The following is a 22,048-nucleotide window of genomic DNA, read 5'->3' as shown; positions in this document are numbered from 1 at the left end:
TCTTTCTTTTTTTTTCAGAAACAGGGTCTCACTATGTTGCCCAGGCAGGACTCAAACTCCTGGACTCAAGTGATCCTCCCACCTCAGCCTCCCAAGTATCATCTCTTCCTATACGGACCAGTCATGCTGGATTAGGGCCATCCTAATGACCTTATTTTAACTTAATTATCTCTTTAGAGAGCCTGTCTCTAACCACAGCCACATTCTGTCCTGGGAATTAGGACTTCAACAATTAGGAGGGGGCATAATTCAGCTCCTAGCAGCCACTATGTGAGAAGGTCTGCATGACCCAGCTGACAGCAAACCTCTCCTGGGCAGTTTTTCATCCCAGCACCTCAGGGTTTGCCTGCTGGCTGGGGGTGGGGGCTGGGGCCTGGGGAGGGGAGCCCCATGCAGGGAACGCGCCTACCCTGCTCAAAGAGCAGCCCAGCCTGCTGCTTCCTGGGCAAAGGCTCACCATTGCTTTGGTTGAGTGACACTGCGGTGGCTGAACTGACACTTTCAGCTCTGTGTTTCTCTAGCAGGCAGTGAGGAAACATGAGGGCTGCGCTGGGGGTGGCACTTCTGTCCTAGCTCCCCAGCTATGCGTACGTGGAGACAGTCTATCTCCTCTTGTCCCTCCTTCTGGTTCTTGATCATGGGCATGAAGGAATATCCAGGCCCCATGGCTCAGTGAATGTGCGTGGTTTCCACTCTTGCTGTCGCCCTATTACCTCAAGCAGGTCCATCCACATGCCCAGAGCAGGTACTTAAGGCAGCAGGTGAAAGAGCCGCCTAATCCTCTCCTCAAAGGGGGCCAAGAAACCTCAACTACCATTTCTGGAAGCATCTTTGGTCAGGGATTCAAGAAGGTGTCTTTCAAGAAGGGAGAGGAGGAGGAGTCCCTGACTGAGAAGCCCCATGGGACATAAGAGACTGGATGCTAGGAGGCAGGGGTGGGTTTGGAGTCGTGGCTCCACCATTACCCAGCTGTGAGTCTTTGGACAAATTGCTTAACTTCTCTTAGCCTGTGTCTTCAGATATTAATGAGACAATCATCTCAACCATCTTATCTATTTGGGAAGATAAAATAGCACAGATGAACATTCCTGGCATGTGGTAGACACTCAATAAATGCAGGTTCAATTGGAATCTCTTCTTGATGGAGGAAAGTGCCTTGTAAACATATGTCATGACACAAATGGCAATGGTTATTATTATTATTGAGACGGCCAGATGGGAGGGGGTTCCTGCAGAAACTCCAACCAGCCTGCTCACTGAAGTGGGGCCTCGGAGAGTTCAGGATGTCTGCAGCAGAGGAGCCTGGCCCCTCTTCTTCCTGGGTGGAACCTAAGATTCAAGCTGCGACGCAAGCGGTCTAGCAGGGATTCGGCGTAACGCGATTCCCTGTTTCCCCCTTTTCTTCCTTTTCACCCAATAAAACCCTGTCTCACTCACCATTCAAATTGTCTGTGAGCCTGAATTTTCCTGGCCATGGGACAAAGAACCCCATCTTTAACTGAACTAAGGAAGAGTCCTGCAAAAGTTTTGGTGCCCCATTTGGGGGCTCGAGAAGTGGTGAGTGAAATGGGGACTCAAAACCTCTCACTGTTGCTCCTAAGCATTTTAATCCTCGAACTTCTGAAGGTGGGCAAGACATGCCCCCCAAATCCGGGGGCTCCGGAGTTCAGAAGAAAGGTCCTTCCTTTTGGGGGAAGGACGGGCCAGCGGGGGCTCCTTGCTCCCTCTCCCCTCTGTGCAGAAGCTGGGATGCATGGCCCAAGGGTCTCACACAGCTGGCTGGCTTGTTTCAAGCCACGCACCACCACAGCAGCCGTCCCCTTCCCCAGCCAAGGGGTTGAGCTTCATTAGGCAGTAAACTTTTCTCCCTGATGGAGGAACCACTTGTATAAGAATAAGAGGTTCGTCCCCAGGGATTTTTAAACCTTTTTTCTTTCCTCTTCTCCGCCCCATCAGCAGTTAAGTTTAAGCAAGTTTTGTTTTTTTTTTTTTTCTTTCTAGAAGACATTTTGCTAGGCTAGGAATGATAAGAATCCCTGTTTATATTCTCTGTAAAGCTTTAATTGTGAAAAAGGATTTGTGGGGCTAGCGTTGGGCTGTGGCCAATCTGGTGTGCTTTGCAGGTCTATATGGTTTGTGCTGCAAGCCTCCATCTTGTTTTACATCCTGGGGCATGGCCAGTAACCACTTGGCAAGGCTTTATTTAACAATCCTGCCTTAGGGGATGACCGTCTCTGGTTGGATATCTTCCTCTTTCCTAGTCCTGTCCCTTAAAGGGCCCCACCCAGCAAATGGGTTTTCTTGTGCCTATCTGTGTATGTACTGTGTGTGATGTCTGTAAAAAGAGCTCTAATTAATTTTGCCTCAAGAAAAGCGCTTGGATCAAAAAAATTTTTATTTTTTAAGATGGAGTTTTGCTCTTGTTGCCCAGGCTGGAGTGCAGTGGCGCGATCTCGGCTCACCGCAACCTCCGCCTCCTGGGTTCAAGCGATTCTCCTGTCTCAGCCTCCTGAGTAGCTGGGATTACAGGCGCACGCCACCACGCCTGGCTCTTTTTTTTGTATTTTTAGTAGAGATGGGGTTTTACCATGTTGGCCAGGCTGGTCTCGAACTCCTGACCTCAGGTGATCTGCCCACCTCAGCCTCCCAAAGTGCTGGGATTACGGGCATGAGCCACCGCACCCGGCCTGGATCAAATATTTTTTAAAGGCAATATAAAATCCGTGGTACCTTTCAGTTCATGTGACTTTAATCTTTGAGAAATAAAAACAGCCGTGAAGATTATTAATGCAGGTCAGATGCAAAGTTTGCTAAGTGTTTTCAGGTTACAAACTGCTTTTTGGGTTTTGAGAACTATTTGACTTGCTGGCTTCGTAATTGGTAGGGCTTGGGGACATGTGGAACTAACCAGGCCCTTAAGTAAGAAGGCAAACATTGGCTGCAGTTAGCACACAATTCAACTTACCAAGTTTTACCTTTAAGTTAAAAATTGCTAGGAGTTACAATTATGACATGTAATTGAAACTAGCGAAAATAGATTTACATGCAAGGGGTGTAAGAAGAATAAAATGTGATTTTTATGTAAAAGGTTATAAGAAGGCATGGAAATGTAAACTTTTGCCTAGGGTTAAAGGATTATTTTGAGTTAGATAGGGAAAGCTGAAGGTTCAAACAAGTGGTGGAAAAGCTGTGGAAATTAATTTTGTAGAAGAGGTTCTCTGTGTGAACATATTAACTAAATGCAAAAGGGTTATAAAAAGCTTTTGCTTCTTCAAAATTTCTGAGTCATGATTTTGAGAAAATAAATAGTTTGTGGTAATCTGGAACTCTATTTCATAGTATCAGGTGCTTTAAACATATTTAAAAGGCTTCTGGAAATCAAACTTAAGTTTCAAAATTGTCTTTTCTGATACCTGGCTTTTCAGATGTTTCAGAGGGTCCCTGAAACATCCCAAAAAAAGAGGTAAACAGGATTATTTGGCATGTTTAGGTACATGGAATTGCCAGAATGATCTTCAGTCTTCTTTAGGCTGTACTTTTGTGAATACAAACATATGTTCCAAAATTGTATGGGATTTCTAAGATTCTAATGTCTGAGTATATGCTATCAATCATAATTAAGGTTGGTATGTTAAGTTATCGTAAACCGCGAAGATAACCAAACTTCGTCAATTGTGTTTCTAACTGTAACTATCCTGGACATTTTGCTATTCACAGACAATTGTTGTCTCGTTTTGATTCTTTTCAAAAGATGGTTTATAATAAGCTATAGAACTTTAACAGGTGCTCTCATATACAGGCTTCTGATAACTTTGGAGATTGTAACATTAGAATAAAGGAAAATATACAGGACTCGTGAAGAGTTGAAATGTTCACAAATATCAAACAAAAGAAGAGTTAACTAAATGAACTGAACTCAGAAAGCTGAAGCAATCTTTTTGACTTTTGATTGGAATATTGTTGATTCTTGTTTTGTTTTTCATAGTTAAGGAAACTCACTTGGAACTATTTACAGCCTTTAATAATTGAGTAAGGTTTACTCCTATGAACAAAAATTTGGAGCATGTTTGTTTCTCTCTGCCTGGTTCCTCTAGGATTTGGAAACTATCTGTGAGTATTCTTACGGTAATATGGTTGTTTGCATCATATGTTACCCTGTACAGGTAAAGAATGTCACTTTCTAACAGGTCCGGGAGCTCCAAGTTTATCTTGGGACCTTAAGGTAAACTCACAGTTGTTTGAGGATACAAACCCATGGTTGGGCTCAGCATTAAACGGTCTTATCTGAGATTCCTTGTGGAACAAACTTGCATCAAAGCCAATCCAAGAGGCCTATGTAGAAATAATTATTCTTGCTGCACTTTATGCAATTAATCAGGCCAAGTATAAGACTAAAGTCTATTTTGCAAACCATTCAGTCCTATGATGATTTTTTAACAAAAATGAGGACTGGAGAGAGAGAAATCATGTTTCAAAACTTATTATACATTTGTCATTAAATTCTAAACTCATTGGTTGTTTTTAAGTTTTCACCTACATTTTAGACTAACCCTGCTTGCTCTTGTGAACCAACCAGCAATCTCCAGCTGCAGCTCAGAAAGGACAAAAGGGATGGGTAATGTAGAAATCTGGATCAATATTCTAGCTCTGGGCAATTATCCTGCAAGTCCTGCTAGGTGATTTGAATACATAGGATGCCCATCACTTGGAGGTTTCCTTTTTGGAAAAGTAAGACCAAGAAAGCTAATCAAAGCCAAGGACCATGCACCCAAACCCTCGCAAGCATAACTATAGCCACCAGTTATCTGGTTGTGTCACAAGACATCTTTTTCTCCCCCTTGTTGGAGGAGGACTCAATTCCACAGTTTCACCTTAGCATTTGGCTTATGATAAGGAGTCCATGCACCTCCCCCACCCCCCACCGAGACACATTTTTGTCCCAAACTCAATTTCAAGCTTTGGGTCAAAGTCCTAAGAAGGAAAACTGGATCTGAGGGATCCAGAGACAAATGACAACAGAGGTTAAAAGGCACGGTGCAGGTGAGCATGGCTCATTCCTGCCAATTAAGCCAACCCAAGCTTCTTGTTTCATGGATAAACCCACGGCATAAATATCCATGGCATAAATGAGGTCTAGGGAACTCCAAGGCTACTGACAGTAGGAGATAGAGGCATAGATGAGAGCGGATAATTCCTATTCTCTAGGCCCTCCCTGCTTCATGGGTGCAAGCCACTTTGGCACTCATGGCGGCACCTGCCAAGGTCACCGGGACTCGGGGATGCAAGGATGGAAGAGGGAAAGAGAACACTCTTTCCTCTCTCCCTCATGTACCGTGGGTATCTGCTAGGAAGAGAAGGGAACCAGGGACACCTGCTCCCCTCTTTCCAGATGGGTAGCCATTCATCTGCAGTCTGTGCCCCTTTCAAATGCACCCTGAACCCCTGGGACTCCTTCAGACGGTGTCTTCTTTTTTCCTTTCTTCTCCTCTGTCCTCTCTTCACTGATAGGTAATTGTGTCTCCGTACTATGGGACGATTCCCTCAGATGCATCCTCCAAACTGGAAAGAGTTAATTTCCCAAACATTAAACTGGTTGGCTTAGGATTAGGCTCAGGGGAAGGGAACTCAGAAGCCCAACGTGCCAGCAAAAGGGTCCAGTTTCTGCCAGCTGGGCTTTTGGCCTCCCTCTCCCTGTGCAAACTGGTAAAAGGCCTCAGAATTTTTGAGCTGTCCTTACCCCTCCCCTTGTCTCCCTGTGTTTCCTTTTGGGTTTTTGTTTTTGTTGTTGTTGTTTTATTTTGAGACGGAGTTTCGCTTTTGTTGCCCAGGCTGGAGTGCAGTGGCATGGTCTTGGCTCACTGCAACCTCTGCCTCCCGGGTTCAAGTGATTCTCCTGCCTCAGCCTCCCTAGTAGCTGGGATTACAGGCGTGCACCACCATGCCAGGCTAATTTTTGCATTTTTAGTAGAGACGGGGTTTCGCCATGTTGGTCAGGCTGGTCTCAAACTCCTGACCTCAGGTGATCCATCGCCTCAGCCTCCCAAAGTGCTGGATTACAGGCGTGAGCCACTGCGCCTGGCCTGTTTTGTTTTGCTACATGTTTTCTAATGACCCCGTTTGTCTGTTCTTGCCTTCAGGCCATCAAACTCTGAACAGTCATGCAACCGGAGCTTCTGATGATGGCCTCTTCTGCTGGGGACCCTTAGACAGGCATCTGAGGGACCTCTGACTGCCATTTCCCAAAAACAGTGCCCCCTGTCAGCAGGAAGCAGTTAAGATCAGTCTTCATCCTTATCCTTAATCTAAGGGCAGTTAGATGGACTTCTTTCGAGGCGGGAATGGGACAGCCAGGTGGGAGGGGGTCACTGCAGAAACTCCAACCGGCCTGCACAGTGAGGTGGAGCCTTGGGAAGTTCATGACGTTTGCAGCAGGGAGGAGCCTCGCCCCCCCTTTCCTATGTGGAACCTGGGACTCAAGCTGTGGGCAGGAAGCGCTCTAGCAGGGTCTCTGGCCCAGCGAGACTCCCTGTTTCCCCCTTTTCTTCCTTTTCACCCAATAAAACCCTGTCTCACTCACCATTCAAATTGTCTGTGAGCCTGAATTTTCTTGGCTGAACTAAGGAAAAGTCCTGCAACTTTATCACCCCAAGTTGTTCCTGACGTGTTTTATGTAAACTGAATCTTGGGTCCCATGACCCTTCCCTAAGGCTTTACTCAGAGGCTGACTTGGTATTAGGAGCCCAGAAATGTCCATCTTGGTCCTCTTGGGAATGAAGACCCATCCTCTGGTTTCGGTGGCCCAACATGCAGCCTGCACTGATGTGCCTCCCAGGGTCCCCCACCTGGGACTCTCACTGCACTAGGTTTGGGCTGTGCTCCTCCTCTGAGGAATGCATCGCCAACCCCGTCCTCAAACCCAAGCACTGCCTTCCCATCTCCTCGAGCCCCTCGTCCCCTGCACATCCTCATGTGTCCCTTCCTGTGACTGGCCACTGGCAAGCATGAGCCTCTCCCAGGGCCTAGGGTCTGGGGTGTAGGGAGTTGCGGGGAGCAGATGCCTACATGTTTGTCACAGCCCTTTCCTTCTGGGTTTGAGGAGAACTCTGTCAAAGTTGTCACCCCCCAGCAGAGAGGCAGTGGCTGGCTCAACCCACGTGACCCTTCCTGAGGTTAAGAGGCTTGGTGCTGGGAGAAGAGAAGGAATGTGAGTTAGTACATTCAAATGGTATCTTCCCTTCACTTGGCAGTGCTGGAAGGGGAGCTAACTTTATCTCCCATTGTGCCTTCTGATGAGCCCCTCTGAAACTGAGTGACTGCAGAAGAATCCTCCAGCCGGGGCATTCCAGTTTAATCTGAGCACATCGAGTGTTTGGACAATGCAAGTGATCACAAAATGCTCCCTAGAGTGTCTGGGGGACTCTGAGAGTGCCTTAGGTCATTGTACTGCCTTGGGCTTTAGGTCCTGGTCTTAGCAGCAACTGAAATCATCCTCAGGCACAGATGCCATTTCTGGGGCCTTGGAGGGGCCATCGCAGTAGAGCTTCAAGTCTCACCAGAGGTTGTGCTTTGAAGATGATTCACTCTTTTGGACAACAGCAGCATCGAGGCCATTAAGACTGCAGCCTCTCCTGGGGTAAGTGGACCCTAAGGGTGCTGGGCTGGCCTGAGGAAATGGCAGGAGGCAGGGCGGGGCCCTTCCCTTGGGTGTGAGTGACAGGAATGACACCTGGACACTCGTTGTCAGAGCACTTGCTCCCCCATGGCACCCAGTACTGAATGCAACGCTGCAGATGCGGTTTCATTCCGGACCCCAGCCTGCAGCTCCTCGTGCATCTGAAACCAGATGGCCTGTGTAGTCAGCCCCAGCATGCCGTGAAGAACACTGAGCTGCCTGTTGAGTAACTCCCCAGGGATGAAGGAAAGCACGGAGCTTTCTTCATGTCAAGCACAACTCTTTCATTGAATGCTATTAGATTTCATCGAGTTAGATTGCCTCTGCCCGTCAGGAGATTTTGGGATTCTGATTTGTTCGTCTAATATACTTATTTCTCCTTATCCACAAATTTGGTCAGTTCTGTAGGTCTTCATCCCATTATGAGTAAAGGCATTGGCTGGGTTGTGGATGCAATTCTCTCCCAGGTGCAACCTGTCCTTCGTTGTAACTGAACAGGTAGTTATACATTCTCCTAACCACTCTTACCCAGACTCTCATTTATTCAGAAGTCTTTGTCAAATATGTATGTTGCCCACATTTCCCTCATCAACCAGTCTAACAATTAACAGCAGGAAATGAGCTGCATCTGTACACTTATTCTTGGTAAACTCAATCTGGGGCCTGATGCTTGATTTAGCACGCAAATTCCTGGTTGCAAAGGGATCAGATTATCAAAGATGAGGCTGTTTGAAGAGTAACTTGCACAAGCCTTTCGGAAGAAGGGGAATTCGGGAAAAAGGTCTGAAAGAACTCAAGACCCGCCTTGGGGGAGGACAGCCTTCATAACGGAAAGCCAACCAATAGCAAAGGCTGCAGAGGTGGGGAGGAAGGCGCGTTGTCCCAGAGATCTGTCCGATTAGGAACACGGGAGGACACAGGGATTTGAGAAACTACCAGAAAGGTCACATGAATGTTTATTACAACATAGAAAAGAGGGAAAGGAAGAAAAAGGTTTCCAAAGCCGTATTTCCAAGGATTTAAAAAAACACAAACTTGGAATGCCAAAGAGATGTCATGCTTTATATATTTATAATAGGAAGGTGTGTGTATGTATAAATATGTACATGGAAATATGTACACAGGTTTTGACTGTCATATATAGTATTTTTCATTGCATGTACAGTAATGCTGCTTGAGTGAAGGGTTTTAAAGCTGGCAGAAGGCTGGAGAATCTGGAACCCTGCTTGGCCCCTAGAGGGCGCTGTGGAGACCACCTAAGCAGCTCCCAGGGAAGGTCTGCCGGGGCTGGGGCTGGGTCCTGAGGGTGTTGGGGAAAGCTGAGCTGCAGGCGGGCTGGGGCCCCAGGCTGCAGGGTTCCGGCCAGGGCAAGTCTGGAAGCGTCCCTACGTCCCCGACATTAGACGTTTTCTTCCAAGAAGGGTTTCAGTCATTGGAATAGGCTGGAAATACCCTCATGGCTGGACTGGGGTGGGGTGGGCTCCCAGCAGGTCAGGGTAGAAGTGAGACAAGAAAACCCCAGGAGCTCAGGGTCTTCTCTAAGAACAGTGAAAACGCACAGCAGTTAATTTCACAGAAAGAAGAGAGACCCAAACAAAGCCAATCACGGTGTCAAAACACTGCAAATCACAACACAACACTCATTCATATGCAAATTAAGTTGATACACACAGAACCAGTTGTTTTGTTTTTATATATGTTGTTTAAAAAAAAAATGGCACCACGCACAACAGCAGGGAACTCAGCCAATGAAAAGGGCTGGCCACAGGTTCTCATGGGTGCCCAGGCCTTCTGGGGTGACGGTGCCCACGAGGAGCCTATTACAGCCACCATCACCTTGTCCCTTGCTTGAAACATCCAATCAAGCGCTAACCCAGAAAACGGTGAATGGAACCTCCCTCTCCCTTCTTTCCTCCCTGGTTCCTGTGCTGGAGCAGGTGGGTGGGAACACTGCCCCTCTCCTCTGGGCAGGTCTGCCTTCTCCTTCCCACAGGAGGCCAAGCTGGGGTTGTGGGGAATGGGCACAGCCAGGTTTGGTGCTGAGCCCATTCACCCTAGGAGTGCATGGGAGGAAGAGATCCACAGGCTAGGGCCCTGGAGACAGGAAACAGCATGTGCATGTGGGCTGGGCAGGGGTCAGGGATGTGATGAGGGAAAAAAGTGCTGCCAGCCAGTGCCCATCCTGGAAGAGGGGGTGTGGGCTCCTTTGGAGATAAGTCCCAACCCTGAGGCTCCAGGCAGACCCTGGCCTGCATCCCCCAGCAGTCAAAGGTGCTGGGAATGTGTGCGAGTGTGTGCCTCTGTCCATGTGGGGGTGAAATGCAATGGGGATGGACTGTGGCATCCACACCTGCCCGGATGGTTGGCATTTTGGCAAATTCAGGCAGAGAGGGAGAGGGTTTGAGGGCCGAGTTTCCCTAGCTAAATGCAAATCCAGATGACTTGCACTGGAAACTCAGGACACACACATGGTGGACGCTACAGGGCACCTTTCTGCCCTCTGCGGTAGCATCAGGAGGGGAGAGTGGAATTGGGGGCCAGTGTTTCTGTTCTGCTAGAAAGAATCTTGCCAGCTGCAGCGAGGAGGTGAGGCCTGGGCAGGAGCGGACAGCCCTTGCCCGGATGGGGCTGGGCCTCCAAGCCCTTGGCTCTGACAGAAATGGGGAAACGATGGCTGCCTAAGCCCTTCTTTGTTCCTAACCTATAGATGGTTAAACTGAGGCGAGAGGCAGTCGGAGAGACGCCGGCAGTCATAACAGCACTCAGGCCGGAACTCACTCTTGGGCCACAAGGGAACGTTTGGGGAAGAATCCCTCTGGTTGGGATTCTTCCTATCTCTGCAGGGCCTGGGATTGAGGGTGGTGCATGACTGTCTGAGCGTGACCACCTCCATGCCCCATGATCCCGTGAACATCCAGCTCTAAGAATCTTGCAGGAAGAAAACTGATTGATGAAAAACACAGGCCCCTGAGCCTTGCACCCACCTGCTCAGGCTGAGCTTTTTTGTGATTATTTTAAAGATCCAAGCTGGTCAGAAGGACCACAGTCACCTCCCCTGACCAGGCTGGCGCCTCATCCCCAAACCCAGTGCACAGAGCTCTCAGGAGGGAGAAGGGGCAGTGCAGTCCTTGAAGAGTGTGTCCCCACGCCTGCCTCTGCTCACCTTGCAGCTTCACCTGCAGAGGCTGGAACAGCAGGAGTGTGGAGGTGACGGCATCATTTCCAAGCACAGGACTGCTGGGCCCACGTTAGCTCTCGATGAGCTTGCTGATGAGTTAATGCAAAGCAGGGAGGTGTCCCCCTGGTGAGGACTGCCCGAGGCCACTACCTGGCTGCTCATTGAGCCCTCTGGAGAGGAAACTCTGTTTTTCCTCAGCCTGAGGCCCGGCTTCTTTCCTGGGAGGGTTGACAGCAAAGGCTTCAGGCTGCTCCCTAAGCCTGAGGCCTCCAGCCACATACAAGGTCATGGTCTCTGGGAAGCTTAGGTGCCGCTCGGGTGCAGGGGGTGGGGTGTGCTTTAAAAGTGCTCTCCCACCTCCAATCTCTCTGATAAAAGCCCTCCAGCAAAGCCAGCAAGAGGGAGGGATAACAGTAAACTCTGCCTTCAGCCACTATTGGAGAACTTCCATTTAAATGACACGCCCCCAAGCATTTATGCAATGCTCAGGGCTTTCTTTGCAAAATTCACTAACACCATAAGAAACAGCCAATGCAATTAAAGCCTAAGGTGGGCCTGGGAGCCTAGAAGGGACCCTGAGGAGGCCTGGCTCTCCACCCTCAAGCCTAGGGGTTGGATCTGGCAAAACTGAAGTGAATTCTCAGAATTGCAGGCATCTGGGCAGGGAAGGGGTTAGCTAAAGAACATGTTTCAGGGTTTTTGGCTTTGTGGGTGTTTTGTATTTTAAAGAGCCACGCTGGTGCAGAAAGACCAGGGCCCTATCAGCTTCCCCTCCTCAAGAACCTCGGGCCTTCGGAAGGCCTTTGACCCGGTCCTGGGGTTTCAGACCCACTTTGTGCTGCCTTACACTTGGTGTTGGGATCTGTGCCTGGCTTTTCTTTTTGAGAGCCGGACCCCTTTGCCCTCCAGGGGAAAAGTTAACCATGTGGCTTTTTTTCTTTCTGCAGTTCCTTTCTGTAGCATCCTCCTTACTGCTTCCGAGCCCTGGGCATCCTGCATGAGGCGGAGTTCATCTCACACCTCTGAGATGCCTGTGCCAGCATGGCTGGAGCCCCTGGCTGGCAGAGCGGGCAACTTGGTCCTGCACATTAGGATGGGGAAGCTCCTAATACCAGCTGTCTCTCTGCCGCCATCCCCCAACACCCTCAGGAAGGGGCACCTTTCTGGGCCTGCCTAAAGGAGGGAGCATGGGTGTGAGGGCTGCCCAGGCAGGTGGGAGTACGGAGCCTTGTGGGGCAGGGTGGAGGCGTCCAGGACCTTCCTAGGAGGTTTTGCCCAACTCCCCCTAAGTGATGACAGGTCTCAGGAGGGGGCCGCCCCCACATATGGGAGGGAGAAGCTTATTTTCCCAGCTTGGGGTGGGGGCGGCTGCTGAGGGGATGGAGAAGAGATGGTAATTTATGTTGCATGTTTAGTGACACAATCCAGACACAGGTGGGATTGTATCACTAAACATGTGACATAATCACCCTATTACTCCTGAGGGGTGAGGACCCCTCCACAGGACCTGCTCTGGGCTGCATGCGATTCTGCTCCTTCTTCTGGGAGTGCTGTAGTGAGTGTGTGGACGGCACAGGCTGTGGGGGCGGCCCAACCTGGCCACTTGCCTGTCCTGCCACTTAGGAGCTGAGTGTTTGGGGGCACATGACTTACTCTCTCGGAGCTTCTCCTCTGACATCTGAAACTCACAAAGGCATCTCCCCTCCCAGGAGCTAAAATGCCCTGCACTGTGCCTGGGTGAGGCTGCTCTTGGGGCTGGATGTGTGGGTCTGGGGCAGCTGAGGGTGGGAACCATGCTGCCTGCCCCTTCCTTACCATGGGAAGGTCAGCGGCGTGGCAGGCTGGGGTAGGCTCTGGCAGCAGAGCCATCAGACTCCTGCCGCTCCCATGGGGACCTGGCCTTCTCAGCCTGAGATCCTTGGTTCTGAAACTGACTCAGAGCTCAACATCCAAATCAACAGTCTCCGCCGTCCACAGGACACACCCAGGCCACCCACAGCTCACTCTGGCTCTAGGGTCCCACTCTGACCCAAGGGAATGACCACCCTGATCCCAGTGTCACAGTTTGGTACTGGGAGCATCTCATTGCCTCTGACTTTCTCTGCAAGCCTGTAATTCCTGCCCTAAACACCCACAGCCAGGGAATGTCCTATTGAATTCCGACCGACAAAAGGCCCCAACCTGGAATGTGCCCTGCAGCCTCTGAACCAACAGCCTTGTCTGCACTATGCAGGCAAAGCCCAGCTTTGTCACCAAAGGGCTGTGTGTCAACCATGCACTTGCCTGCACGAGAACCCTAATTTTCAGCTGGCTGGTGTTTGAGAAGTTAACTCTGGCCCTGGTCTGAGTGGCCAGCTGGAACTATTTGGAGTAAATCAGCCACTGTCCCTTATCTACTGAAGATGATCATGCTGAGACCACGGTCTAATTTAGAGGGGCGGGGGCGCTATTTTGAACCGGTCCCGCCCACATGGCAACCCTCACAGCCTCATTCAGGAGACAGGCAGGGGCCTCTTGGCTTCTCCCACACATCAGTTACCCGGAAAGGGGCCTCCTCCTGAGGCTGATGTTTTCCCAGGTTTAGAGACGCAGCCCTCGGGGGAGAGGAGGATCTGGGGGCGCAGTGGCCCTCCACACACACAAACACACAAACCCCTGTATTAAACCATCCCACACGGGACCCAGGGTGACACCTGCCACTCAAGAAAGTCCCACCTGCATCTGGATTGTGTCACTAAACATGCGACATAAATTGCTATCTCTTCTTCACCCCCTCAGCAGCCGCCCCCAGCCCAAGCGGGGAAAATAAGCTTCCGCCTCCCATTTGTGGGGGCGGCCCCCTCCTGAGACCTGTCATCACTCAGGGGGTGTCGGGCAAACTCTGGGGGCTGTGTGGGGTGAAGGGCTGTGGGCTGGTGGGCATGGGAGGGGGCGGCTTCCTGCAGCTGAAGCTATTTTATCTGAGTAGAGGGGCAGCTCCACTCTGACGCAGCTTCCTCGAGAGCAGCCAGCACCAGCCTGGAGGATGCCTGCTGCACACAGCAGAAGGTTCTAGCTTTTTAGAGAAAACCAAATCTGTTCCCACACCTTGAAGATACAGAGGCTTCCAAACAGGAGAGAAGAAGGCAAAGGCCTGGGTTGGGGTCTGTAAGAAGAGAGGACAGGACGCGACAAAGACACTGCCAGGTGTTCAAAAACGGCAGCCCAGCCCCAGGCAGCAATGGAAGACGGACAGTAGCTAAGGGATCCATGATAAGGGGTGGGCAGCAGGGCCCGCTTCTCAGGCAGGACTGTGATTAGAAAGCCCGGTGGATGGGGTAGGTGGGCTGAAACCCCCAGAACGGTGGCCACTACTTCCCAAGCACTTTCATCCTGCAAAATCCCTTCTCCTGCCCTCATGGAGTTCTGACAGTCTCTGATAGACAAACAAGCCCTTCAGAGAGGGACATGCCCAATGGCACTGTGTCAAGTGGAGTCAGAAGCTTGACTTTGGGCCAGCCCCATCTGTTAGCATTTCCTATGTTAGAATGAAAATGAAAGGAAAGGAAACAGACATGTAAATGTCCATCCTCTTAGTATCTAATTTCTCTTAATTTCAGATTGATACTTGATCCACAGTATCCTGGACAACTTCTGCTAGATTCTCCCCACCCCTAGCCCCCATTAGGGATCTAGCCCTGTCCCAATCACTTACAGAGGGGCTCCTTAAAGAGGCCCATGGTCTTTTGGCAACTGAAGGAGTCCTTGTGTAATGCCGACAATTTCACCCTCTAACACATCTGTTTGCAAGCAGGATTTTCAGATCAAGGTCCACAACCCCATACAATTGTTCTTGCAATTCTGAAACCCTAAAAGCTCTCAAATGGTAAGTTTTTCCCTAAGTTACTTAGTGGCAAAATTAGACTGAACTGAGGTGAGGCTATTTACAGTTTGTATAGCTCCCAGTTAATGGGACTAGTCACATGTTTCTCTGCAGAAATATTCACGTGCCTGATGGTAGGCGAGATGTTCCACACTCTGCCGGGAAGTTAGAAAGTGTACGATAAATGGATCGCATTGTCTTTCTCAAATCTAAAATTTCTCAATTCGGAGACACATCTGGCCCCAATGACTTCAGAAAAAGGAATGTGGGCCAGAAATGCTGTTAAGTATTGGGTGAAAGCCTGCTAGTCTGCCCACTCCTGCTTCAGTCTAATAACTTTGTGTATAAACATCTGGCAGTTTCACCCCAGGGAAGGAGCTACTCCTCTCCTTCCCAGGAAAACACAGGTCACGACACACCCAGCCCTCAGATTTCAGCTGCGAGGAGGCGGGGGGTGCGGTCAGGGAGGCAGGCCCAGGAGACGCCTGTGGGACTGGTCTTCTCCCCGAGGCCTCAGGCCAGCTGTGGGCACAGTGGGCCTTTCCACGCTAGGGTGGAGCCTGGCCATCCTCACCCACACCCTGGTGCTGCCCCCAGGAGACCACACAGTAAACACTCGGGGCACCAGATTTTGAGGCAGGTGGGGTCCCACAGGACGGGTCTACCACAGTCCTGTCCCCTTGGTGAGCCCCTGCTCACCCAGACAGGGCCCGGTGTGGCCCGGCCCAGCAGACGTGGCGTGCCTTTGCGGTGGGCAGTGGGTACAGCAAGGCCAGTTGGAGCCTGCCGGAGCATCCCAGCCTCTCTGTGGGCGTTCTCATCTCCACCCCACTCTCTGATGCTCTGGTGCCTGCGCCCACAGTGCTTTCCAGAGCAGGAGGGGCTGGCAGCCCTCACAACCTGCTGAGAAAAGCAGATGCGTTTTCAAAATAAATAATATTTTTAAAAATACCCCCTTTCCACCCCCAGTCCAGAAAATGGCAGAAAAGAACATGTAAAGGTCCTTGTGCCCAAAGCTGCCTGGTGCAGCCCTCACAGGGCCCCCCTGGATCTCCCCAGCGGCTCCCGTGGGCTCACAGCTGCTGTGGGATGCCCTGCTCCTTGTAGCCTGTGAGGAAGAAGCAAAGGAGAGATGGTTAGACACCTGCTTACTTCAGGATTTCTCCAGGAGGTGCCCCTAGCCCAGAATGCACACAGGAGGCATTGTTTATACTAAGGTGTAAATGACTGCTACCATCAGAGCACAACTTTTCCCAAGGGCTTTGACTTTCTAATGGGAAACAAAAGAATGAATCAGGAAATGTGGAGTACTGGGTCTACTGGGAATGTATGACGGGCGGGCATTTGGGGTGGGAGCTAAAAGGCTATCGACATGCTCCTGAACCCACATCTGGAAGCCGCTTACAGACTGGTCTGGTGTGCTTTCCCAGTGCAGAGCCTTGGGAGCAGGTGCCAGGCAGGCTTCCCCGAAGGTTGGGCATCTGGTATGGGTGGATAGAAGGAGGAAGAAAGGAGGAAGATGGCATACAGAGGGGAGCAGCCATCCCTGTGTGCGTCCAACCTGCTGGACGGTTACGGCAGGAAAGGGCGCCTGAAGGCTAAACCTTTAAAACATTGTTGATCATGAGTCCTTTGGGAAAAAGTGAGCTCTGTGGATAGTAAGGAATTGTTACTGCTTTATTTAGGTGTGAAAGGGTATTGTGTTTGTTTTCTTAAGAAGATACCCTTTGGGAGGCCGAGGCGGGCAGATCACTATGTCAGGAGATTGAGACCATCCTGGCTAACACAGTGAAATCCCGTCTTACTAAGAATACAAAAAATTAACTGGGCGTGGAGGCATGTGCCTGTAGTCCCAGCTACTCGGGAGGCTGAGGCAGGAGAATCGCTTGAACCCAGGAGGCGGAGGTTGCAGTGAGCCGAGATTGCGCCACTGCACTCCAGCCTGGGAGGCACAGCAAGACTCTGTCTCAAAAGAAGAAGAAGAAAAAAAAAACGATACCTACTGAAATATTCCCAGCTGCTATTACATGAGCAGAATTTGCCGAGCGGTTATTCCTATTAGCCAGTGAACTTAGTCTGAAGAGGAGCTTTGGTGTATTGAGCTGCTTTTTTCTCTTCATTTAGCAGAGTATTTCTCAATTTTGGGTGCTAATAACCCATGCTGGGGTAGGGGAGATGTGGCGAATGACAGAGGAAAGGAGGCTGGCCATGAATTGATAGCAGTTGAGGCTGGTGTGGGCATTAGGGCCTCATTTTACTAGGGGCTCTACTTTTGTCTATGTTTAAGCATTTTCCAAACCAAAAGTTCAAGCTAAACATAAAAGCCCATTGACCCACTGGGAGAGTGGGTGGGGTGTTTGTGTGCAGGAGTGGGGGTCTCGGGGGAGGGGAGGGCCCCAAGCAGCAGCACGAGGCCCGCACGTCCATCCGCAGACTCACCTTGGGAAACTGCAGCAGCACAGAGTGGGAGGCAGCAGGAGGAAGAGGAGAGAGAGAAGAAGAGAAAACACAGCCTGAAAACAGAGCCACAGGGAACGCTTGGCACAGGAAACAAAGCAGATCCATGGTGAGGCCTGGGAGATGGGACAGGGGCCATGCCAGTGGCTTCTCAGACGCCATCCCCAGGCAGGGAGTGCTCAGTACTCATGGTGACAGCCACAGTGGCCAGTGGTCTGCCCACCAGGCGTGTGGGTGTGGCTAGGGGCACAGCGAGGGGCTCTCACACTGCCAGGGAGCTTGGTCCACTGCCTCCCCAGCCCTCCATATCCTGGCCATGCCCACACTGCTGCCTTCATTCTTTATTCTTGTCTTCTTTTGACACAGAATCTCACTCTGTTGCCCAGCTAGAGTATAGTGGTGTGATCATGTCTCACTGCAGCCTCAAACTCCTGGTCTCAAGTGATCCTCCTGCCTCAGTCTCCCAACATGCTGAGATACAGGCATGAGCCACAGCACCTAGCCTTTTTTTTTTCATCCTCAGCTCATGCCTTCCTCCAGATAAATTCCAGATGGACATGAGGAGTGGCAGCTCCTGGACAGCTAGAGCTTTGACTACAGCAATCTAAAGATGCTGATGTGCCCCATCCTGGCCCCACACTGGCTCTGTCTGAGCTATGTGCTTAGCCATTTCTATGGAGAGGAGCCACATATATAAAAATACTTTGGGGAAGACCCAGGCCAGAGGGTGGCAAACAGATTTTATCTTGCAGACCTCTTGGATCAATTAGTAGTGACTGCCTGAAGCCCTGTGCTGAGAACATGTGAGACTGGTCACCAGAAAGTGTCATGATTGATTAGCAATGTCTGCCATGGGCATGGCAGTAGAAAGAGCCCACCATAGAGCTACCAAGTATTTATTGACCCATGACCAAGACAGGGTGTTGTTGTTTGTTATTTGTTGTTATTCATATAAATCAAGCAACATGCTTGCAACTTCCTGATGTTAACTCCCACTTTCATCTAGATTTCTCTGACTCCCCTCTTAGGAGTTTTTCATGATAGTGTGTTTGCTGATGACACCCCAGGCAATGCCATGCGAAAAGCCAAAGTGTACTGTTACAACTGAAAAGTTTCCTCTGTTTTTATAGCAAGGGGCTGGACTGACACCAGAAAGAAGAGTCCCTTATCCAACTGTCTTCTAGGATAGAAAAGTCCATTGTGATAATTCCCTTCAAAGGAGTCACTCTCAGACACACAAGTTCCATGGTTGCTGGGAGTAATCCCACCTATAGCACCATCTCATGAGTAGCAACTGTTCACCCTTTGGGGGTGGGATTAGTTGTGGGAAAAAAATGCAAAGGCTTCCCTTGCTGAGTTGGGTGAAAGAGTCTGGCAGTCAGGCAGTGGGCAAGAATGAGGTGTGACTGGTTTTTGTATTCAGCCCTCAAGTCTATCCCCCTGATATGGTTTGGCTGTGTCCCCACCCAAATCTCATCTTGAATTGTAACTCCCACAATTCCTATGTGTTGTGGGAGGAACCTGGTGGGAGATGATTGAATTATGGGGATGGGTGTTTCCTGCAGTGTTCTTGTGATAGTGAATGAGTCTCACGAGATCTGATGGTTTTAAAAATGGGAGTTTCCCGGCACAAACTCTCTTTGCCTGCTGCCATCCACAAAAGAAGTGACTTGCTCCTCCTTGCCTTTCGCCATGATTGTGAGGCATCCCCAGCCATGTAGAACTGTAAGTGCATTAAGCCTCTTTTTCTTCCCAGTCTTGGATATGTCTTTATCAGCAGTGTGAAAATGAACTAATACACCCCCCAAAAGCATTCTCAAAAGTTTGATGCAAAGACAGCATCCCTGGAAACAGTGTGCAGACAACCAAGGGGCTGACGCTGACCCCCAGTGAAGGCTGCATGGCAAAGGTAGGGGCTGCAGCTTCTAGCACTTGCTTATCCTGCAGACCAGTTAGTGCCCCACACCAGCCACAGCAGAGGAGTTTCTGGCCAAGTCAACAGCCTGGGGCAATGGAAAGTGAGGAAGTGACTGGATCCCCATCTGCACTTCTGGGGCCTCAATGCCTCATCTAGGCATGATGAAGGGAGTTCTTTATCTCTAAGGTTCCAACCTCTTCGTTCCTGGGTATTAAGGAGATCAAAGACAAGTGTACCAGAAAGCTCTAGAGATCAGATGAGGCATCAACATACATTATTGAGACCTACCCTGTGACACAGTCATGTTCCGCTTTAATGCAGAGGTTCCTTCCTCAGGTCCCCAGTGCCTGGCCAGATGCTCAGTTTGAGAGAAGATGAGCCAGTAAGAGGGGCTCATCTTGCACAAATTGGGCAGCCTTCAACCTTCTGAGGGCAGAAGCACCTCCCAGCTTCCAGCTGGGAACAGGGTCAGGAGCCTGCAGAGCACAGGCCCCTGGGGAAGCAGCAAATTTCCTCTGTGGAATTGTCGGGACCAATTTTTAGGAGTCACCTGAGGGCTGGCAGCACTTCCTTCCTATCAGTCATGCTCTTCACCTCTCCAGACAAATGAAAGTCGCCCCTGGACATGCCCAGAGGATGAGATCCCATGAAGGAGATGCAAGGGCCTGCCTGCTGGGCTTACCTCACAATATTCCTCTGACAGGGCAGCCCCTGCCCTGAGCACACCCCTCCCAGGAGGAAGGAGCAGCTTCCCTGCTGCTTCCCAGCTCATTCCTCCCTGGGGCAGCTCACTGCTCAGCCTCTGGTCCAGCCTGGGGTTCCCCTGCTCTGGCTGCCCCAGTAGCCAGCATCTGCCTGGTTTGCTCTGATTCTGGGAGACCCTGGCAGTGCAGCTGACCCACTTCCTCCTGTGATCTCTGCTGCCAGAGGAGCCACTTCCGGGCAGCCCATCTGACCACGCTCCACTGCATCTCCCTCAGGCTCTGCATCTACCTGCATCTTCTCTGGCCTGGTGGCCTAACTGGTCACTGACCCTGGTCCTGCCATTTGTGTGTGCCCTGGGTCTTGAATATTCACAGGATCCTGAACTCAGGCTGAGTTGACTATAGATCATTCTACATAATTCTAGGGCCCCTGAACCCTGAGTTTCCCCTTCTGCCTCTGCCACTCTTACCTGGCTCAGCTTACCTCTGACACTGACGATCCCAGCTATGAATGGTTTTGGGGGGTATAGGACACAATGAGGGGCATGGGGTACAGAGTGAAGGCAAAGTGCCTGAGAGGTGAGGTCAATTATTGAGGAACTGTGGCCTCACATGTAGATGGGCGTGGGAAAATACAGGGAACGTGGATGGTGGTATGGGAGACATGCACAGCTGCTTAAAATGGGTGGTGTCTGTTTTAAGATTTTGCTAGGTTATTTTAGAAAGGGTAACTGAGTTGTCTTTGGTAAACTTGATTTTGTAACTTTAAACCCTTTCACAAAACCATTCTGTGTCTGAATCAAGTTTGCATTAAATGATGGAACTCTCCTGCCATCCACTCATAATTCCCTGCAGGTGTTGGGCCAGGCCTGGCGGGGAGGGTCCCCAGTGCCAAGCAGCCCAGGGAGTTGTGAAGAGGACACGGGCAAGCCCTCTCCAGAGCCCGTGCTTAGCGGGTGAGCAGGACCTCGGCCAGACATGAAGGTCTCCCAAGCCCTTCCTGTCCCTGGCCACTCCCCACCCCCAGGAGGCGCAGCACCAACAGCTACTCACTGGCAAGGATGACCATGTCCATGCCCCAGAAGATGCTCATGATCCAGCCCACCATGACGATGGCAGTGAGGATTTGGATGAGGGCTGCTGCAATGTTCAGCCAGAAGACGCAGCACACATGCCTGTCCGGGAGGTCGGTGCGGGCCCCGCACAGCACAGTGAAGGCCGAGACGAATGTCCCTGTGAGAGGCCAGAGGGGACAGCCTTCTGAGGGCACTGGGAGACAAAGGGGTCTGTGTGCTCATTGCTGGCCTGGGGCCCAGCTGTCCACCCTCCAAGAACTCAGAGAAGAACCACCGATGTCTGGCACCCTGTCCTCTGAGTGGCACCCCTGCCCAGACCCTGGCCCACCTCTCATCTCCATACTGCAGAGTTCAGTGGGCCACCTGGAGGAGGTATTGCACGGGGCTGCCAGGGGCCCCATACAGTCTTGGAACCTCTGGGGGAGACAAGGAAGTCACAGGACAAGCAGTCCCTTCTGGGAAGGAGCAATCAGGAAGCCACTTGCAAGGACAACAGGCAGTTGGAAAAGGCAACTTTATGTGGCAAAGATTCCAAGAGCCAAAGAGTTCTGAGGTGGAAGCTGATGTGTCTGAGTTAACACAGAAGCAACCTCAGAGGTAAATTCAGGAGAGGGGAAGGGCCAGGAAATGACCACCCAGCACACATGCTGCTCGCTAAGGGACAGGAGCCAAGAGCCTACAGTGTAGTAGTAGTACACTGTGCAGTGTAGAGGGCGCAGACTAGGACAGGTGTCCCAGAGCCCCTCCCTGATGGGGTTCCCCTAGACACCCTGACCTGTAAGGGGAGGGACAGGGAGCCTAAGCTCTATTGAGCATCCACAAGGTGCCAAGCAACGTGGTGGGTGCGGTCACATTCTTCACCTTGTCTAAGACTCAGCCCCTATGGGTAACATCACTACCTTTACCGAGTTAGGCCCCTTTCCTACATGGGCTCTGAGCCCTCCTGACAACAACCGTGCAGAGAATTAGCATTCTCTATATCTGTCATAGTTCCCTACAGCGTCAGTAACAAGTTACCCAAACCTCATGGTTAAAAGCCACACAAATTTATTCTTTTATAGTTCTGGAGGTTAGAAGAGTCTGCAATGGGTCCTCAGGGATGAGTCCTTCTGGAGGCTCCAGGGGAAAATCTACTTCCTTGCCTTTTCCAGCTTCTAGAGGCCACCTACATTCCTTGGCTT

At 50.6% G+C, this 22,048-nt stretch overlaps 1 protein-coding gene across 2 annotated transcripts in view, besides 6 other annotated features; it reads right to left on the bottom strand.

Annotated features, from left to right (window-relative positions):
- Positions 1-8,595: 8,595 nt before the first annotated feature.
- Positions 8,596-22,048, bottom strand: part of STUM (stum, mechanosensory transduction mediator homolog) — a 60,467-nt gene continuing 47,014 nt past the window's right edge. The window contains exons 2-4 of one of the 2 annotated variants that reach the window (NM_001003665.4): positions 20,845-21,024; positions 17,152-17,160; positions 8,596-15,820 (exon numbers count right to left, since the gene is read on the bottom strand). In NM_001003665.4, the coding sequence (NP_001003665.1) occupies positions 15,786-15,820; positions 17,152-17,160; positions 20,845-21,024 (224 nt within the window). In that variant the 3' untranslated portion in view covers positions 8,596-15,785. The remainder of the gene's footprint in view (positions 15,821-17,151; positions 17,161-20,844; positions 21,025-22,048) is intronic. The other variant, NM_001410930.1, reaches the window with a different exon arrangement.
- Positions 12,219-12,898: an enhancer, noted in NCBI's record as "H3K27ac-H3K4me1 hESC enhancer chr1:226792629-226793308 (GRCh37/hg19 assembly coordinates)". NCBI's record gives its function as "activates a minimal SCP1, AML or CMV promoter by ChIP-STARR-seq in naive H9 embryonic stem cells {active_cell/tissue: H9 hESC(naive)}" and the evidence as "EXISTENCE:reporter gene assay evidence [ECO:0000049][PMID:30033119]".
- Positions 12,899-13,578: an enhancer, noted in NCBI's record as "H3K27ac-H3K4me1 hESC enhancer chr1:226791949-226792628 (GRCh37/hg19 assembly coordinates)". NCBI's record gives its function as "activates a minimal SCP1, AML or CMV promoter by ChIP-STARR-seq in naive H9 embryonic stem cells {active_cell/tissue: H9 hESC(naive)}" and the evidence as "EXISTENCE:reporter gene assay evidence [ECO:0000049][PMID:30033119]".
- Positions 14,788-15,323: an enhancer, noted in NCBI's record as "H3K4me1 hESC enhancer chr1:226790204-226790739 (GRCh37/hg19 assembly coordinates)". NCBI's record gives its function as "activates a minimal SCP1, AML or CMV promoter by ChIP-STARR-seq in naive H9 embryonic stem cells {active_cell/tissue: H9 hESC(naive)}" and the evidence as "EXISTENCE:reporter gene assay evidence [ECO:0000049][PMID:30033119]".
- Positions 15,324-15,860: an enhancer, noted in NCBI's record as "H3K4me1 hESC enhancer chr1:226789667-226790203 (GRCh37/hg19 assembly coordinates)". NCBI's record gives its function as "activates a minimal SCP1, AML or CMV promoter by ChIP-STARR-seq in naive H9 embryonic stem cells {active_cell/tissue: H9 hESC(naive)}" and the evidence as "EXISTENCE:reporter gene assay evidence [ECO:0000049][PMID:30033119]".
- Positions 19,893-20,420: an enhancer, noted in NCBI's record as "H3K27ac-H3K4me1 hESC enhancer chr1:226785107-226785634 (GRCh37/hg19 assembly coordinates)". NCBI's record gives its function as "activates a minimal SCP1, AML or CMV promoter by ChIP-STARR-seq in primed H9 embryonic stem cells {active_cell/tissue: H9 hESC(primed)}" and the evidence as "EXISTENCE:reporter gene assay evidence [ECO:0000049][PMID:30033119]".
- Positions 20,948-21,475: an enhancer, noted in NCBI's record as "H3K4me1 hESC enhancer chr1:226784052-226784579 (GRCh37/hg19 assembly coordinates)". NCBI's record gives its function as "activates a minimal SCP1, AML or CMV promoter by ChIP-STARR-seq in naive H9 embryonic stem cells {active_cell/tissue: H9 hESC(naive)}" and the evidence as "EXISTENCE:reporter gene assay evidence [ECO:0000049][PMID:30033119]".

Source organism: Homo sapiens, chromosome 1 (genome assembly GCF_000001405.40).
Source record: "Homo sapiens chromosome 1, GRCh38.p14 Primary Assembly".
Classification (NCBI taxonomy): Eukaryota; Metazoa; Chordata; class Mammalia; order Primates; family Hominidae; genus Homo; species Homo sapiens.
The sequence above is the reverse complement of the archived record's forward strand: the minus strand, read 5'-3'. Positions and strand labels throughout refer to the sequence as shown.